This window comes from Homo sapiens, chromosome 6 (genome assembly GCF_000001405.40).
Source record: "Homo sapiens chromosome 6, GRCh38.p14 Primary Assembly".
Taxonomy (NCBI): domain Eukaryota; kingdom Metazoa; phylum Chordata; class Mammalia; order Primates; family Hominidae; genus Homo; species Homo sapiens.
This window is the reverse complement of record NC_000006.12, coordinates 33,580,994-33,594,699: the sequence shown is the minus strand read 5'-3', so window position 1 is coordinate 33,594,699 and position 13,706 is coordinate 33,580,994. Positions and strand designations below refer to the sequence as shown.

Genomic DNA, 13,706 nt, shown 5'->3' with positions numbered 1-13,706 from the left:
TAAATGGGTGGGCTGGGTGTGGTGGCTCATGCCCTTAATCCCAACACTGTGGGAGGCCAAGGAGGGCAGATCACCTGAGGTCAGGAGTTCGAGACCAGCCTGGCCAACATGGTGAAACTCCATCTCTACTAAAAATACAAAAATTAGCCAGGCACACTAACACGGTGAAACCCTGTCTCTACTGAAAATACAAAAAATTAGCCGGGCATGGTGGCGGGCACCTGTAGTCCCAGCTACTTGGGAGGCTGAGGCAGGAGAATGGCGTGAACCTGGGAGGCGGAGCTTGCAGTGAGCCGAGATCGCGCCACTGCACTCCAGCCTGGGCGACAGAGCAAGACTCCGTCAAAAAAAAAAAAAAAAAAAAAAGGCAGGGTGCGGTGGCTTCCACCTGTAATCCCAGCACTTTGGGAGGACAAGATGGGCAGATCACGAGGTCAAGAGATCGAGACCATCCTGGCCAACATGGTGAAACCCCTTCTCTACTAAAAAAAATAGAAAAAATTAGCCGGGTGTCACGATGCGTGCCTGTAGTCCCAGCTACTCAGGAGTCTGAGGCAGGAGAATTGCTTGAACCCGAGAGGCAGAGGTTGCAGTGAGCCGAAAAAGCTCCACTGCATTCCAGCCTGCTCCAGCCTGGCAACAGAGTGAGACTCTGTCTCAAAAAATAATAATAATAATAAATAAAGTAGACAGGCGCGGTGGCAGGTGCCTGTAATCCCAGCTACTCAGGAGGCTGAGGCAGGCGAATCGCTTGAACCCAGAGGCAGAGGTTGCAGTGAGCAGAGATCGCGCCACTGCACTCCAGCCTGGGCGACAGAGCGGGACTCCATCTCATAAAATGAAATGAAATGAAATGAAATAAATAAAATAAAATAAGATAATATAAAATAAAATAAAATAAAATAAAAGGGTGGACTAAACAAGGAGGCCCAGGACAATAGAGGAGTCCAAATGGTTCCTACTTGGTCAGGAAGGTGGACAGTGGGGTCATGGTGCAGACTGGACACTTCCCAATCACAGACTGTTCGCCTGGCAGGCATGCCCTCCCCTTATTTCACCTGTCAACTTCCTCCTCCTGATACAAGCCCAAATCATAAATGGTGCCTTCTCCTGGAAGCCTTCTGGATTCCTCCCTGCTGGCATTGCTTGCTTCCTTCTCTGCACTCTCCAAACTATACTACAGCAACATCATCATCTGGTTCTTAACTGCGCGGGTCTGTTACGGCCCTCCCACCACTGACTGTGAGTTTCTGGAGGCCAGGGAGCTGCCTTCAGCACAGGAGGCCCCGCGCTCCGCCGCCGGTCGACCCCTGAGGGCGAGGCCAGAGGGAACGGAAATGTGGCACGGTTCGGCAGTTCTCAGATGCGAGCGCCTGCGCAGGTACGCACGCTCCGCTGGAGCCTGGGGTGGCCTGGCAGTCGTGGCCGAGACGTGTTTGCTGCACTTCGGTGCGCACAGGCACTGCGGTGCCAACCTCTTGGTTCCGCCCTCCCCCCGCAGGCGCCCACGCGTGACCTCGGCCGCCCACAGGCCTTCGACTCTTCCCGGACTCCAGGTCCCAGGCCGCCCCGCTCCACCCTGCGGATGATGGAGACAAAGTCCCCCACAAGCCCCTCATATGGGGCAAGGGGGAAGGTACCACCTGGGGCGGGGCCTGGCTCCCCACTGAGCAGAGGTGCTGGCCAAGGCGCTCCCCTTAGTGGTAAGTACCCTCTTGGTTCCCCCTCATACTCTCTGCAGTAAGTCACAGCCAGACGACCCCGCCCCACGCCTGCGGCAGCCTCGGAACCTGCCTCCCTGTTTCAGGCCCCGCCCCCTACAGCCTTTCCTCCTCGGCAGCCCAGGGAGCTTTAAATATGCAAACCACATCGCATCACTCCACACTGGATCCGAGAAACCCAAGCCTGGTGCGGTGGCGCGCGCCTGCAGTCCTCGCTGAGGCGGGAGGATCGCCTGAGCCCAGGAGTGGAGGTTGCAGTGAGCTGTCATCGCGTCACTGCACTCCAGCCCGAGCGACAGAGATAAAAAGAGAAAGAAACAAACCCCCAAACCCATGATCAGCAAAGCGCATCTCCACATTTCCTTTCTGACCTCACCTCCTGTCCCACCCCCTCCCACGTATGCCTTTCCAGCTCCACGGATCCCTTTCCTCAAACCCACCAGTCCTGCTCCTGCCTCAGGGCGACGCACTTGCTGTGCCCATGGCTGCCCTTCCCCCAGATGGCTCCCTCCCTGGCTTCCGGCACACGACCTCCTCAGCAAGGCCTCCTCATCCCTCTGTGATATCCCCCCAACTATCCAGTCTCAGCTTTCTTCATAGCACCTCTCACCCTGGCGTATCTGTTGTTTATCTCACTAGCAATAATGTAAGCCCCCCAAAGTGGAGGTTGTGTATGTCTTGCTCATTGCTCTATTCCCCAGTGCCTAGAACAGGACTAGGATGTAGTCGATGCTTCATAAAAATGGTTCCATGGATTCTTATTTTTTAGACGGAGTTTCACTCTTGTCGCCCACGTTGGAGTGCAATGGCGTGATCTCGGCTCACTGCAACCTCCACCTCCCAGGTTCAAGTGATTCTCCTGCCTCAGCCTCCCGAGTAGCTGGGATTACAGGTGCCCACCACCATGCCCAGTTAATTTATTTGTATTTTTAGTAGAGATAGGGTTTCATCATTTTGACCAGGCGGGTCTCGAACTCCTGACCTCAGGTGATCCACCAGCCATGGCCCCCAAAGTGCTGGGATTGCAGGCGTGAGCCACTGTGCCCGGCCCCACGGATTCTTTGAGAATCTTCTACGAGCCAAGCAGCTCTTCATTCACCCATTGCACAGACGTGGAGACTGAGATTCAGAGAGATATGAGACTTGTCTGCCGTCATATGAGCTTGCTGCAGTGGGAGCCAGGTTTCAACCCAGCTGAGTCTCTCCCCTCTGCCTCTCTGCTTTCCAGCTCATCTCCCAGTTGAGAAGGGGAGCAAAATCTCCGGTTTTGCCCTCCCTTCACCCTAGTGTAGGCCAGGCTGACCCCCAGTGACCCCAGACAGGGCCTGAGGCACCATCTCCCTGGGAGGTCTTGGCCAGGGGGCCACAGGAGGGGGATCATACAGTCTCCTGAGGTGGATAGGCCCACCTTTGGCCCTGCCCACATTTTCCTGGGACCACCCACCCTGACCCCCAGCTCCTAAATGACCCAACCCACTGCCTTCCTTTCAGCCACCACTGAGTCCCTAAACTCTCTCAGAATGGACCTGGGTGCCTCTTTGCTTTTGCCTTCATCCCACCTGAGATACAGTGAGAGAGACAGAGACACTGGGAGACATGGGGAGACAGGGCAGAGACAGAAACACACACACAGGGACACATTTATATACCAACAGGGAGAGACCAGGAGAGTGACAGAGATTTGGCAAGTCCCTTCGCAATGCTCCAAACCTCATGGACCCAATCAGGGCCACTGCCAGCCCATTGTCCCTTTTGAACAAGTTAGGAAAGGCACCCTCCGGGGGGATGCTACCCCTCCCAGGGCCTGGTGAGTGAGTGTGATGGGCTGGGCTTCAGTCCCGCTGGCCCTTCGGCCGAGTGAGTGTGCTGGTGCAGGAGGGGCCGTGGAAGCTGTCCCCAGATGTCTCTATGCAAGGGGGAGAAGGCAATGCTGCAATGCTCCCCAGTCCTCGGGCCCACCCCACAGGCCTGCCCTTGTAGTGTTCTCTGAGGCGTTTCAGGATCCCCAGTCCTCAGCCCCGCCCTGCAGGCCTGCGCCTGCAGTGTTCTCTGAGGCCTTTCAGGAACGCTTGGGCTCTCACCATTCTAGCCTTGACCCGAGCCCAGCCCTCTGCCCTCACCCACGGGGCCTTCCCCCACAGCAGGTCCTTGGGTCACCTCTGCCTTCACCACCCAGAAATGTCAAGCCAGGCCCTTCCGCAGAAACCAGCCCAGGACACTGTGTGTCTGGGAAGAGGCCCTCAGGCCTGCTCCAGCACACAGACCCCCTCCTGCTCCAGGGACAGCGCCAGCACACCACACTTCCCAGCCTCACAGACCCCCGCAGTTCAGAGGAATCCCAGGAGTGGACAAGAAGGTGCCATGGGCCTCACTGGAGAGACAGGGAAAATGAGGAACAGAGAGGAAGGGTGACCAGCCCAGGGTCCCACACCCCGAACCAAGGTTTCTGCCCCCCTCTGCCCCTCCCCCCTCATCCAGGTGCTCCCAGGGAAGCCCTGCAAGGCCCCACCCTTCCCAACAGAGAACACTCTGGGAGGAAATGATTAACAGGGCAATTAGGGCACAGGTGAGTCATCTGGTCACAAGGCTGCCTCCTGGCTGACTCAGGGGGGCAGTCCAGATGGGCCCTTCCACCCGGCCCCAGCTCGGGGTCTGAGTCAAGGACACCATGGGCTCTGGCCAGGAAGTCCAGGAGAAAGCCTTCAGCCCTCTCCAGGCTCCACCCACACCCTGCAGGCTGGGGGACAGAGGCAGGGACTCCCACCTTCACTGGGCTGGCCTGGGCCAGGGCAGGGGACCAGGCTGCTACAGTTTCTGTCTCCCCACGCCAAGTCTGTGGCCACAGGGCCGGCCATCCAACCAACAGCTGTTGTTATCAATCACCGCGATTACTAAGAATAGCCATCATGTTCTGATACTGAACTTCAGCTCTGCAACAGGCCTCGGGCTAGACACAGTGGGGACCCATGGGGACCATCAGACAAGCATCCATGGATAGCAGTCATGTTGAAAAGAGCTGGGGACAGTGAGCTCTTTTTCTCATACATCTGCTGAGGGGTCTCAGAGCCTGGACCCAGGCAGAAAGAAAGGAAGGAACGGGGGACCCCACAGGGAAGCCAGCAGGACCTTCTGGTGAACAGCACCTCCTGGTGTCCAAACTAGGCCTGGCCCTGCTGCCCATCTCATCTCTGGGAAGCCAGGTGTGTCGGTCTCCTTCCCTGGCCAGTAAGGCCCATCATTATGCACTCCATCCCAAGCCCACCCTTACTTTTGAGATTAGGCAACACTGGACACCAGGGACCCCTGGCTTACCCAGGCCCGCCCTCCCGAGGCAGATCCCCCATCCCAGGGCCTCTTTCCTGGCTTTGTCCTTGGGCTGGCTGGGCAGGAACTTCCTGCTGGAGAATTCCCGGATCCTCCCTAGGAGGCTGCAGCACAGCCTGGGAACTTAGGGAGGGAGGGAAGTCAGGGACACCCCTCCTAACAGGGGCACGGCTTGTGGGCAGCAGGGTCCCCTGGCACTCTGGGCCTTGGGTCCTTCCCCAGCCCTAGGTCAGGCCAACTAGACCTCCTGCCCTCTCTGCACAGATGCCCTGCTGCAACCCCTCCACTCTGCAGCAGGGCAGCCCTAGCAGCCCCATGGGCACAGACTGGGGACTAGATCAAGACCTCAGATAGACTGGGCTTGCTCCAGGGTTGAAGATTGGGGGTTGGGGTCCAAAGACAGCCAACAATGAGGCCAAAGTCAAAGCACATTTTTATTAATAACATCACAGGCCTGAGTTGGCTGGGTGGGATAGAATTTGGGGCAGGCCCATCCTACAGACACATGGACACTGTGTCTCAAGACCCGCTGGCCACAGGGGATCCTTAGATGTACCCTAAGAAAAGACATACTCCATGTACCAGCTCCGGGGATCTGGGCAGGGCAGACTCAGGGCCAGCACCGGCTTCACTCTGGAGGCCAGTTTCCCATCTCACCTTTCTCCTCAAGAAGCAGGCACTGGGCGACAGAAATGGGTGAAGGAAGATGCCTCAGTCTTCTCTGCACCTCATAACCTTCTCCCTGCCCCCAGAGACAAGCACCCGAGGACACCTTTCCGCCACCTCCCCTCGGCTGGCACAGCTCCACCAACCCTGAGCCACCTCCCTGCCACAAAATGGAGAATCCTTTCTCCTTCCAACTTGGGGGGTTCCTTGGAAGCCCCAGGAGTCAGCACCGCAGCCAGTCCCTCCCCTCCCTCACTTCTGGACACGACCCCAAGGGGGGTCTGTGCCCTCCCCTCAAGCCCAAGGTGGTGCTGCTGCTTCCTCCGTGCTCCTCCCTAGGTCTCCAGCATTCTCCAAAGGCTCGGGGGCAGCCTCCTTCCCCCTCAGCACAGTGTCCCTGAGGGCAGTAAGGGGAGATGGGAATGGTGATGAGGACAGGACCTTTGAAATGTTGTGCACATGTACCCTAGAACTTAAAGTATAATAATGAGAAAAAAAAAGAAGGTAATGAACCTAAATAATAATAAAGGTAATAGTAATAAGATAATAAACCTAACAGAAAAAAACAAAACACCCACTGGGGAAAGGTATTCTTAAGGCAGCTCTGTCCCCAAAGTGAGGACTGGGCTGAGCCCTTACTTGCCACCACCCAGAAATGACCCAGGCCTCTCAGCGCTACTCAGGCAACCCCAGGACTGTGACTCCTGGGACAGGGCAGGCTGGCTGGGGAGGGGATGAGAAGAAGGAGGAGGGACCAGAAAGGGCAGATACCAAGATTCAAACCCTTCGATGTGAAAAGACAAAAGTGAGGGGCTCTGCCAGGTGCTGACAACCTACGTGGCTGTGGATGAGGTAACACAGAGGCCTCCTGTGACATGGACATGCATGCGGGCTTGGGGCAATTAGAAGGATGCCCCTCAGTGCCCAGCAGGCATGTTTCTTTTTTTGTTTGAGACAGGGTCTCGCTCTATTGCCCAGGCTGGAGTGCAGTGACACTCTCATAGCTCACTGCAGCCTCAACTGCCGGGGCTCAAGTGATCCTCCCACCTCAGTCTCCCAAGTAGCTGGGACCACACGTGCACGCCACCATGCCTGGTTAATTTTTGTATTTTTTGTAGAGACAAGGTTTCACCATGTTGCCCAGGCTTTTCTCAAACTCCTGAGCTCAAGCAATCCGCCCACCTCAGCCTCCGAAAGTGCTAGGATTATAGGCGTGAGCCACTGCACCCAGCCCCAGGTGGCAAGTCTTTCTGATAGGCACTGCTCCAAAGTGAATCACACTGTGCTAAGCCCCCGCAAGGGAGTGCCTTTGCAGCTTACAGCTGCACACTCGTCATCTCAGGAGGTCCTTGCAACAGTCCCCTTTCACGGGTAAAGAAACTGAGGCCTCTACTCAACCTCACAGAGCAAGCTAATGCCAGACTAAAACCTCTGGCCTCCAAACCCCATGCCCTTTCTTTTTGTAAGCTACACAGACTGTCAGGGCAAATGTCCACTGGATAAAAGCATGAGATGATGAATGGACGGAAATTAACCAAAAAGGTCATCAACACATTTTCAACAGATCCATCAATGTGCACTCAAAGAAGCTGAGACAGGCCTAACCTTTAAAGGCTGATGTCAAGGAAGGGGAGCAGCAGGATGGTACTCGGTCTGACCCAGCGGGGTCGCTCCCCTGAGCCTATGTGTGTTTGGAGTGGACGAGAATGGGAGAGAGATTAGAAAAACAGCAGCATCATGTGAATTACAGATGCACAGGAAAGCTTACAGCCTGTCTAGACAAATTCACTTATGTTACAGATGAGGAAACTGAGGCTCAGAAAGAGGAAGGGACTTGCCCAAGGCCACATAGCAAAGGAATAGCAAAGTTGAGACAAAAATAATGGACATTGTGACTCTGAGTCAAGTGAGAAACAGAGAGACTGATGGAGAAGTGTGTGTGTGTGTGTGTGTGTGTGTGTGTTTATGTGCATGCAGTGTGCACTCACTCAGGGGGCCAGGGTCCTGAATTTAGAAACACTACCACCAAGAAGGCATTATGCCTACCCTACCCAGGCAGTGGGGGCTGGAGCCAGGGCCTGGGGGCTGGAACCAGGGCCCAGGGCCTGGAGGGGATGGTAAGCCTCCAGCCCCACCTTCTCCAGGAAGGGGTTGGTGGTCTGGCACGGGCCAAGCGTACCTGGCCATCCACAATGCTCACCTCCACCACGGTGATCTCTGGCCGGGTAAGCAGCTCTCGGCCCTCTTGGCTGCCTAGCTTCCAGAGGCGGGACTCTTGCTGCATTCCCAGAAGCTTCTTCAACTCCGACTCCAGGAAACCTGAGAGCCAGAGAGATGGCAAGGGACAGGGAGATGGCAGGGAACAGGCAGGAGTAGGATGGAGCAGCCCACTGGGAACCCAAGGACCCGGAGGTGCAACCGCTCCCTGAGCCTCATCCCAGCTCTGTGTGGTTCCTGCTCACCCTCAGCCACAGCCCTCTCTTCTTCCAGGACGTAGAGCCAGCCAGGTACCACCCCTCCTTCGCCCTGCCTTCCCCAGGAAGCTCACTCTTTGAGGGCCTTCTCTGGCAGCGGCAGCATGAGAGCCTGCGTCTTCACCCACTGGGGACAGCATGCAAAGGGCAGGTATTTGCCCCCACCACCAACCAACTCAAGAGCCTGGATCTGGAACCCAAACTGCCTGCACTCAAGTCCCAGCTCTGCCCATCACTAGCTGTGTGACATCGGGCAAGTTCTCACTGTGAACTGGAGATGGCAATAGGACCTACCTCAGAGTCGTAAAATGCAGGATTTTATGAAAAGTGCTTAAAGAGGGTCTGCCCCATTAATGGCTATGTAAATGTGAACCACGATTTTCATCATATTATGTATGCTATCACCACTAACCCAACTGCTGTCCATGTCTGGGCTGCCCGGGGCTCTACTGGCAGAGAGGACCCTCTGGGGCTCTGTCACAGCAGTGCATGATGGGAAAACCAGGGATGGAGGCAGCCACTGAAGGCGTTAGAAGCCTCTGGGCTGGGGGAAAGGGTGGTGCTTGAGTAGTACCACCCCCGCAGTCACCACTTCCCAAACCCAGAGGAAGACCCGTTACACCTAGTGTGGCCTCCAGCCCAGCCACACGCTGCTCCCTGGTCTCGGGTGGTCCTCTTAGGTCCTCTGGTACCATCTGGTGGTACCTGCTGGTATTGCACCCCTGAGCCGCCGGCCAAAGCGAGGCTTCCTGGACCTGGGGGCACGTGGGAGGGGAAGGGCGGAAGCCCTTACCCACTGTGTCTGTGGATCTGAAAGCCTTGTTCGGTGGCGACTGGAGGGCAACAATGCCTGGGACACAGAGCTTGAATGAGCTGTCCTCTTCCTTCATTTTCTCTTCCTCACTTTTCTCCTCGCTGGGCAAACCTTGGAGAGGAGTCCAGCCAGTCTCTGAGCAGGTGAGGAGGCCCAGGACCCCAGGCCTGCAGCCCCACCCCACCCCTAGGCAAGACAGGAAGCAGGAGGCAACATGTCCCTAAAGGCTAAGAAAGGGGACTGCTCCTTCCAGGCCCAGGCCACATATTCTGGGGCCCAGCCTGATGTGGGAAAGGCCCCAACCCATGCCTCATGACCCCATCACCCACAGACCTTGGCCATGGCCGAGTTTTGAAGCTCCTTGTCCAAACTGTGGAAGTGGTTCCAAGGAGTTGCCTCCACCCTGGAAGAGGCCAACACGCAGTCTCCTGTGAATGGGTGGTGGTCACTGACAGGCTGGCAGCAAGTGGGGTGGTCCAGGCCTTGGAGGGCAAGCACACAGGGGGCTGAGTTGTGGGTGGGGTTGTCTTGTTTTCTTTAGCAAATGCCTACTGTGTGCCACACACCGTTCTGGGCATTTTACAAAGAGTATCTCAGTTCATCCTTGCAACTTCCTTCAAGGATAGCTACTATTATATTCCCACTTTAAAGACGAGGAAACAGACGCAGAGAGGTTGAGCAAGCTGCCACCCATCGCACGGCTCAGCATGTTAGAACTGGCATTTGAACCCAGGCAGTCTGACTCCAGCAGTCCCTCAAAATGTGTCCCGTGTCCTGCCAGGCCCCACACCCCTAAGAAGTTCTACAGGAAGAGGGTCCGTTTCTGGCGCTTCCCCTATGCCTATGGCCACCACACTCACCTTCAAGCAGACACTCCTTCTCCCTGGTGGAGGGCTCAGGGCTGACCTCACGGGGCCCTGTGGCTCTCTGCAGGTATTCTTCCTTCAACTGCAGGATCTGGATAAAGTGGCTGCTAATCCCAAAGCACAGTCAGGTGAGGGAGGCAGGTGGGGCTCAGAGATGTGACAGAGACCCCCTAAACCTCCCCCAAGGCTCACCTACAGGTCTGCTGGCCCTCTGCAGCCTTCCTCTCCCATCAGCCCCCTGCTCTGCATCTGGGGTCCTCATCATAGAGGGGGATTATCGCTCTCAAAAGTAGGGTGATGAGGGGGTGGGGAACAGAGAGAGGTGGGTCCCTGTCCTCACAGGGGATGGCTGCCAGGCCTGTAGAAGGAGCTGGGAGCAACAGGACCCCCCGTCCCTCTGGCCCTGGCATATTCCCTTTCTACTCCCTAGCCTGTCCTCTTTCATATCTGGTATCCCCCATCCACAACCCCTCACTTGTGGGAGGACCCCATCTCTCCCTCCTTCCCAAACCAAATCCCCATCTCCAGCCTCCTCCCCACCAGATGCTTCTGTCCGTTGGCCCCACCCACATCTCCCTGTCCTTCCCCACCAGGTGCCCTGTTCCAGACCTTTACCCACCCAAGGCCTCCCTCCCCAGACCCTCCCCAGCATGGGTCCCCCATCTCAGGCCCATGCCCTTCCCCCATCTCATGTCCAGGCCTCTTCTCAGTACCTCTGTCCCAGGCCTTGCCAACCTGGGTACCCCCCAATTCCAGCCCCTCACCTGTCTGAGGCCCCTGTTTTCCCAGAGGCGTCCCCTGCTGGCTCCTTCCCCTCCTTCTCAGGCAGGTTGCCCAACACCTCCTGGCTTGCTATGGGCAGAACTGACTTCACCTCTCCGCCAGGCCTTCTTGCTCTTGCAGGTGTAGGTCACCATACGCCCCATGCCCAGCTTTAAGGGAGGCTGCTGTGACCGTTTTGAGAAGCCCCTGGGTATGGCCACAGAGAAGGGGTGGGGCGGCAAGGCAGATGGTCCCGGCCCCCTCCTCCTCACATGTCCCTCTTGGCTCATCATCAGGGAAATGGCACCCTGGTGGCGGAACATGGAGGAGCAGCCTGAAATTCATGATCAGGGCTTCGGAGCTGGGGCCTCCATCCTGAGAAGGTCCCCAATTCAGATCCTGTAACAGCCACCCCAGGACCAACTGCTTAAGAACAGGAAGAGTTTTCAAATTAAAACCTCCAGTTGGAAACTTCCCAGAATTCTGGGAAGCAAAGACTGGGGAGGATGGGAGGTTGGGGGAGATTAGTTGGAGGTAGAGGGGGCAGGGGTTTGATGAAGCAGGGAAGGAGGTGTGGGGGGCAGGCAGGGATTTTGGGGGAAAGGGGGTGGAGACTTGGAGGAAAAGATGTGAGAGCCCCAGGAAGCTTGGCAGGGAGCAAACAGGGAGAGGCAGGGAGGGAACTGAACCCTGAGGGCAGGGGCTATTGAGGACTGCACACACCTCTGTCCTTCCTGGGTTTGTTCTGTCCTCAAGAACACTCCCAGCAGCCAGACAGTATCTGTCTTCCCTCTTAGCATCCAGGTTTTGTGTCCAGGTGGTAGCACAGACCCCACTAAGTCTATTTATTTATTTGTTTTTATTTTTATTTATTTATTTTTTTGAGACAGAGTCTCGCTCTGTCGCCCAGGCTGGAGTGCAGTGGGCTATCTCGGCTCACTGCAAGCTCTGCCTCCTGGGTTCACGCCATTCTCCTGCCTCAGCCTCCCAAGCAGCTGGAACTATAGGCGCTTGCTACGGCGCCCAGCTAATTTTTTGTATTTTTAGTAGAGATGGGGTTTCACCGTGTTAGCCAGGATGGTCTCGATCTCCTGACCTCGTGATCCACCCGCCTCGGCCTCCCAAAGTGCTGGGATTACAGGCGAGAGCCACCGGGCCCGGCCTTGTTTTTATTTTTATTTTTAATTTCTTGAGATGGAGTCTAGCTCTGTCGCCAGGCAGGAGTGCAGTGGCACAATCTTGGCTCACTGCAACCTCCGCCTCCTGGCTTCAAGCGATTCTCCTGCCTCAGCCTCCTGAGTAGCTGGGACTACAGGTACCCGCCATCACGCCCGGCTAATTTTTGTATTTTTAGTAGAGACAGGGTTTCACCATGTTGGCCAGGATGGTCTCGACCTCTTGACCTTGTGATCCACCTACCTCGGCTTCCCAAAGTGCTGGGATTACAGGCATGAGCCACCGTGCCCGGCCCTATTTTTATTTTATTTTTTTGAGATGGGGTTTCACTCTTGTCACCCAGGCTGGAGTGCAGTGGTACAATCTCAGCTCACTGCAACCTCCGCCTCCTGGGTTCAGCAATTCTCCTGCCTCAACCTCCCAAGTAGCTGGGATTATAGGCGCACGCCACCACAACCGGCTTTATTTTATTTATTTATTATTATTATTATTTTTTGAGATGGAGTTTCGCTCTTGTTGACCAGGCTGGAGTGCAATGGCGCAATCGCAGCTTACCACAACTCTGCCTCCCGGGTTCAAGCAATTCTCCTGCCTCAGCCTCCAGAGTAGCTGGGATTACAGGCATGCGCCACCACGCCTGGCTAATTTTGTATTTTTAATAGGGGTGGAGTTTCTCCACGTTGGTCAGGCTGGTCTCGAACTTCCAACCTCAGGTGATCAGCCAGCCTCGGCCTCCCAAAGTGCTGGGATTACAGGCGTGAGCCACCGTGCCCGACCAATTTTTTTTTTTTTTTTTTGAGACGGAGTCTCATTCTGTCACCCAGGCTGGAGTGCAGTGGCGTGATCTCGGCTCACTGCAAGCTCTGCCTCCTGAGTTCACGCCATTCTCCTGCCTCAGCCTCCCATGTAGCTGGGACTACAGGCGCCTGCCACCATGCCCGGCTAATTTTTTTGTATTTTTAGTAGAGACGGGGTTTCACCATGTTAGCCAGGATGGTCTCAATCTCCTGACCTCAGGTGATCCACCTGCCTTGGCCTCCCTTTTGTGTATTTTTAAAAGAGACGGGGTTTCGCCATGTTAGGCAAGCTGGTCTTGAACTCCTGACCTCAGGTGATCTGCCTGCCTCGGGCTCCCAAAGTGCTGGGATGGGATTACAGGCGTGAGCCACCGTGCCCGGCCTTTTTTTTTTTTTTTTTTTTTTTTCTAGAGACAGACTCTCCCTCTGTTGCCCTGGTGCAATCATAGCTTACTGCAGCCTCGACCTCCTGGGCTCAAGCAATCCTCCCACCTCAGCCTCCCCAGTAGCTAAGACCACAGGCATACAACACCATGCCTTGCTAATTTTTTTTTTTTTTTTTTTTTTTTTTGGTATAAGCAGGGTATTGCTGTTGCCCAGGCTGGCCTGGAACTCCTGCACCTGGCCTCAAGCGATCCTCTTGCCTTGGCCTCCCAAATGGCTGGGATGGGATTCTAGGCGTGACACACCGCAGCTGGCTGCCTTTTTTGTTGTTGTTGAGACAAGGTCTTGCTCTGTTGCCCAGGGCGGAATGCAGTGGTGCAAACATGGCTCACTGTGGCCTCGACTTCCTGTGCTCAGGTGATCCTCCTGCCTCAGCCTCCTAGGTAGCTGGGACCACCAAATGCACAGGTGTGCACTACCATACCCAGCTAATTTCTAATTTTTTTTTGTAGAGACATGGTCTCACTTTGTTGCCCAGGCTGGTCTTGAACTCCTGGGCTCAAGCAATCCTCCCACCTCAGCCTTCCAAAGTGTTGGGATTACAGGCGTGAGCCACTGGGCCCAGCCTCTATTGAGTTTTAATCTCCGTTTACTTGACTATCACCTTCAGGATTTCAAACATCCAGAGACCACCAAGGTGCATGGTGCACAGGTCTAAATTG

General features: G+C 55.7%; 1 long non-coding RNA gene and 1 pseudogene across 2 annotated transcripts, besides 9 other annotated features; one reads left to right on the top strand and one right to left on the bottom strand.

The window, feature by feature from the left end:
* Window positions 893–1,532: an enhancer, noted in NCBI's record as "H3K27ac-H3K4me1 hESC enhancer chr6:33560945-33561584 (GRCh37/hg19 assembly coordinates)". NCBI's record gives its function as "activates a minimal SCP1, AML or CMV promoter by ChIP-STARR-seq in naive H9 embryonic stem cells {active_cell/tissue: H9 hESC(naive)}" and the evidence as "EXISTENCE:reporter gene assay evidence [ECO:0000049][PMID:30033119]".
* Window positions 1,362–8,596, top strand: LINC00336 (long intergenic non-protein coding RNA 336). The gene is made up of 2 exons (NR_027908.2): window positions 1,362–1,703; window positions 6,830–8,596. It is a non-coding gene; the product is annotated as a long intergenic non-protein coding RNA 336 (long non-coding RNA).
* Window positions 2,813–3,452: an enhancer, noted in NCBI's record as "H3K27ac-H3K4me1 hESC enhancer chr6:33559025-33559664 (GRCh37/hg19 assembly coordinates)". NCBI's record gives its function as "activates a minimal SCP1, AML or CMV promoter by ChIP-STARR-seq in primed H9 embryonic stem cells {active_cell/tissue: H9 hESC(primed)}" and the evidence as "EXISTENCE:reporter gene assay evidence [ECO:0000049][PMID:30033119]".
* Window positions 3,606–4,805: an enhancer, noted in NCBI's record as "P300/CBP strongly-dependent group 1 enhancer chr6:33557672-33558871 (GRCh37/hg19 assembly coordinates)". NCBI's record gives its function as "activates an origin of replication core promoter dependent on BRD2, BRD4, P300/CBP, MED14 and CDK7 cofactors, with strong dependence on P300/CBP, by STARR-seq in HCT116 cells {active_cell/tissue: HCT116}" and the evidence as "EXISTENCE:reporter gene assay evidence [ECO:0000049][PMID:35650434]".
* Window positions 3,836–3,945: an enhancer, noted in NCBI's record as "active region_24365". NCBI's record gives its function as "activates an Ori minimal core promoter by ATAC-STARR-seq in GM12878 lymphoblastoid cells {active_cell/tissue: GM12878}" and the evidence as "EXISTENCE:reporter gene assay evidence [ECO:0000049][PMID:35858748]".
* Window positions 4,436–4,505: an enhancer, noted in NCBI's record as "active region_24364". NCBI's record gives its function as "activates an Ori minimal core promoter by ATAC-STARR-seq in GM12878 lymphoblastoid cells {active_cell/tissue: GM12878}" and the evidence as "EXISTENCE:reporter gene assay evidence [ECO:0000049][PMID:35858748]".
* Window positions 4,626–4,675: an enhancer, noted in NCBI's record as "active region_24363". NCBI's record gives its function as "activates an Ori minimal core promoter by ATAC-STARR-seq in GM12878 lymphoblastoid cells {active_cell/tissue: GM12878}" and the evidence as "EXISTENCE:reporter gene assay evidence [ECO:0000049][PMID:35858748]".
* Window positions 5,674–11,001, bottom strand: GGNBP1 (gametogenetin binding protein 1 (pseudogene); annotated as a pseudogene). The gene is made up of 6 exons (NR_028361.1): window positions 10,630–11,001; window positions 9,860–9,972; window positions 9,333–9,481; window positions 8,979–9,110; window positions 7,912–8,030; window positions 5,674–5,787 (listed from the first exon to the last, which is right to left on the bottom strand). The product of NR_028361.1 is annotated as a gametogenetin binding protein 1 (pseudogene) (transcript).
* Window positions 8,603–8,692: an enhancer, noted in NCBI's record as "active region_24362". NCBI's record gives its function as "activates an Ori minimal core promoter by ATAC-STARR-seq in GM12878 lymphoblastoid cells {active_cell/tissue: GM12878}" and the evidence as "EXISTENCE:reporter gene assay evidence [ECO:0000049][PMID:35858748]".
* Window positions 8,603–9,609: a biological region, named in NCBI's record as "H3K4me1 hESC enhancer GRCh37_chr6:33552868-33553862".
* Window positions 8,615–9,609: an enhancer, noted in NCBI's record as "H3K4me1 hESC enhancer chr6:33552868-33553862 (GRCh37/hg19 assembly coordinates)". NCBI's record gives its function as "activates a minimal SCP1, AML or CMV promoter by ChIP-STARR-seq in primed H9 embryonic stem cells {active_cell/tissue: H9 hESC(primed)}" and the evidence as "EXISTENCE:reporter gene assay evidence [ECO:0000049][PMID:30033119]".
* Window positions 11,002–13,706: the final 2,705 nt, after the last annotated feature.